This window comes from Homo sapiens, chromosome 17, assembly GCF_000001405.40.
Source record: "Homo sapiens chromosome 17, GRCh38.p14 Primary Assembly".
Taxonomy (NCBI): domain Eukaryota; kingdom Metazoa; phylum Chordata; class Mammalia; order Primates; family Hominidae; genus Homo; species Homo sapiens.
Genome location: NC_000017.11, coordinates 17,439,463 through 17,442,608, shown reverse-complemented (window position 1 = coordinate 17,442,608; position 3,146 = coordinate 17,439,463). Strand labels below are relative to the sequence as shown.

Below are 3,146 nucleotides of genomic sequence, written 5' to 3'. Positions count from 1 at the left end.
CCCCCCACCCGGCCAGCCGCCCCGTCCGGGAGGGAGGTGGGGGGGTCAGCCCCCCGCCCGGCCAGCCGCCCCGTCCGGGAGGGAGGTGGGGGGGTCAGCCCCCCGCCCGGCCAGCCGCCCCGTCAGGGAGGGAGGTGGGTTCAGCCCCCCGCCAGGCCAGCCGCCCCGTCTGGGAGGGAGGTCGGGGCGTCAGCCTCCCGCCCGGCCAGCCGCCCCGTCTGGGAGGTGAGGGGCGCCTCTGCCTGGCCGCCCCTACTGGGAAGTGAGGAGCCCCTCTGCCAGGCCAGCCGCCCCGTCCGGGAGGGAGGTGGGGGGGTCAGCCCCCCGCCCGGCCAGCCGCCCCGTCCGGGAGGTGAGGGGCGCCTCTGCCCGGCCGCCCCTACTGGGAAGTGAGGAGCCCCTCTGCCCGGCCACCACCCCGTCTGGGAGGTGTGCCCAACAGCTCATTGAGAACGGGCCAGGATGACAATGGCGGCTTTGTGGAATAGAAAGGCGGGAAAGGTGGGGAAAAGATTGAGAAATCGGATGGTTGCCGTGTCTGTGTAGAAAGAAGTAGACATGGGAGACTTTTCATTTTGTTCTGTACTAAGAAAACTTCTGCCTTGGGATCCTGTTGATCTGTGACCTTACCCCCAACCCTGTGCTCTCTGAAACATGTGCTGTGTCCACTCAGGGTTAAATGGATTAAGGGCGGTGCAAGATGTGCTTTGTTAAACAGATGCTTGAAGGCAGCATGCTCGTTAAGAGTCGTCACCACTCCCTAATCTCAAGTACCCAGGGACACAAACACTGCTGAAGGCCGCAGGGTCCTCTGCCTAGGAAAACCAGAGACCTTTGTTCACTTGTTTATCTGCTGACCTTCCCTCCACTATTGTCCTATGACCCTGCCAAATCCCCCTCTGTGAGAAACACCCAAGAATTATCAATAAAAAATAAATAAATTAAAAAAAAACAAAAACAAAAACAAAAAAAACAGATGTGGAAAAAAAAAAAAAAAAAAAAGAAAATCATGTGCTTTGTAGCAGTAACAAACAAATGAAGAGCAGATTTTCACTTGATTAAAGCCTGACCAGACCAATGATCCATACCCTGCTGTCTGCGGCCTACAGAAACCGCCCTTCCTCCACCACCAAAGGAAAAAAGATAACACAAATTAGAAGAAACAAACAGACCTAAAGCAAGCCACAGCTGTCTCCTGGTTGGTGCCAACGCGCCAGCATTGAGCTGGCCCTGCCCGGATGGTTTTCTTGTCACCCTGGTTGTCCTCAAGCTCTGTGAGCATAAAGACTGTGTTTTCTGTGTTTTCACAGCCAACTTCATATAGGAGTTCACAAGCAGATATTCAAAAGTGGCTCCTTAAATAGACTAAAACGCATAACGCTTGCTTTTAAGTTAATAGCCAATGTTCAATGAGTCCTATGTTCCAGGCCTGGGGCTGAGTGCTTTACCTGCGATGGCTCACTCAATCACCATGAGTGGAAGGTGGTTTCTATTATTATCCTCATTTTACAGATGAGAAGACTGAGGCCCCAGGAGTTGGCGATTTTCCTAACGTCACAGGCTGCTAGAGCTCATCTGAACGCTAACACCTTTTACTTGTTTATTTCACCCTGAAACATTGACATTGCTGACATGCTATAGGACTTCAATTCCTTTATGATGGAGAAATGAAAATAAATATCACCCCACTACCATCACTAAACACACACACACACACCCCTCTCTCACCGCCCTGGCCAAAGGCCTGAAACCAAAACACGGTGTTCTCTCTGCATTATTAGCCATTACCACCCGTAAGGAACCCAAGCAATGTTTTTCCGAGAAGGCCCAGGGTACAGGGGGTGCCATTCATGGAGAGCTCAAGTGCCCAGCCTGGCATTTCACAGGCCACTTGTGCATGTCTAATTGTCTTTTCTGTGTCAGGAGGGCGGGCTGTGTTTGTCAGAGGCTCATTAGGACCCTGGCCAAGGGGTTGTTTGTGATTTCAGGGCTGGGTGAGGAAAGTGCAGGGTGAGGGTTTCTGTTCCGAATGGACCTCCTGCCGAGCGCTGAGTCAAGGTTGCCAGCCAGCACCAGCCTCCCCTTCCCCCCTTTTTGGTTGGTTTTCCCCAAGCATCTGTTTGTTTTGCTCCTGCAAACAAAAGTCAAAGAGAATACATGGCTCCCAGTGAGTGAAGGAAGCAGATTTTTCTGGTCCTTCCAAAAGCACAGCAAGCCCACCTAGTCCCTTTGTACAGGGGGATTGAGCTGAGTCAGAGCAAAGAATCCCTTCACCTCACATCACTGGGCCAGCGATGCCAGCCAACAAGCCAGGAGATCCTTGTGCATTCCTGTCACAGCTTACCACGAGGCCACCAGGATCCTACTTGGGTCTATGGGTGGTATTATAAGAAATCCTGGTGCTTTGCCTGCAATGAGGGCATCCAGCCAGCAGGTGGACTGTGGGCGGTTTGCACAAGACCAAAAGAGCAAGGCCCTTGAGCCATATCTTAAGCCCGAGTAAATGTCAGCAAGATTGATCTTTTCCAGTCGTGTTTTGTACTATGTTGAACAATCTACATAGAGCAGCACCAAAACAAGGTGACACTGAGAGATTACCAGGCTAAAATTAATTAAAAATAATATATGCTTTCAATTGTGGTGAAAAATGTATAACACATTTACCATCTTAATCCCTTTTATGTGTACAGTTCAGTGCCATTACGTGCATTAACACTGTTGTGGGACCATCACCACCATTCATCTCCAGAATGTTTTTCATCTTCCCAAACGGAAACTCTATACCCATTAAACAGTAACTCCCTATCCCGTCCTCCCCCAGCCCCTGACAGTTACTGTTTTACTCTCTGTCTCTATGAATCTGACTACTTTAGGTACCTCATATAAGTGGAATTACACATTTACTATTTGTTCTTTTGTGACTGGCTTATTTCACTTAGCATGAAGTCCTTAAGGTTCAGCCATGTTGTAGCATGTGTCAAAATTTTCTTCCTTTTTCTTTTTTCTTCCTTTAAAAATTTCTTCCTTTTTAAAGTTGAATGATATTCCATTGTATGTGTAAACCCAAAGTATCTGAGACAAGTCTCAATCAATTTCAAAGTCCATTTTGCCAAGGTTAAGGACATGCCCGTGACACAGCCTCAGGA

The 3,146-nt window shown here is 49.6% G+C and overlaps 1 annotated feature.

Moving 5' to 3' along the window:
* Positions 1 to 846: an enhancer, noted in NCBI's record as "NANOG-H3K27ac-H3K4me1 hESC enhancer chr17:17345077-17345922 (GRCh37/hg19 assembly coordinates)". NCBI's record gives its function as "activates a minimal SCP1, AML or CMV promoter by ChIP-STARR-seq in primed H9 embryonic stem cells {active_cell/tissue: H9 hESC(primed)}" and the evidence as "EXISTENCE:reporter gene assay evidence [ECO:0000049][PMID:30033119]".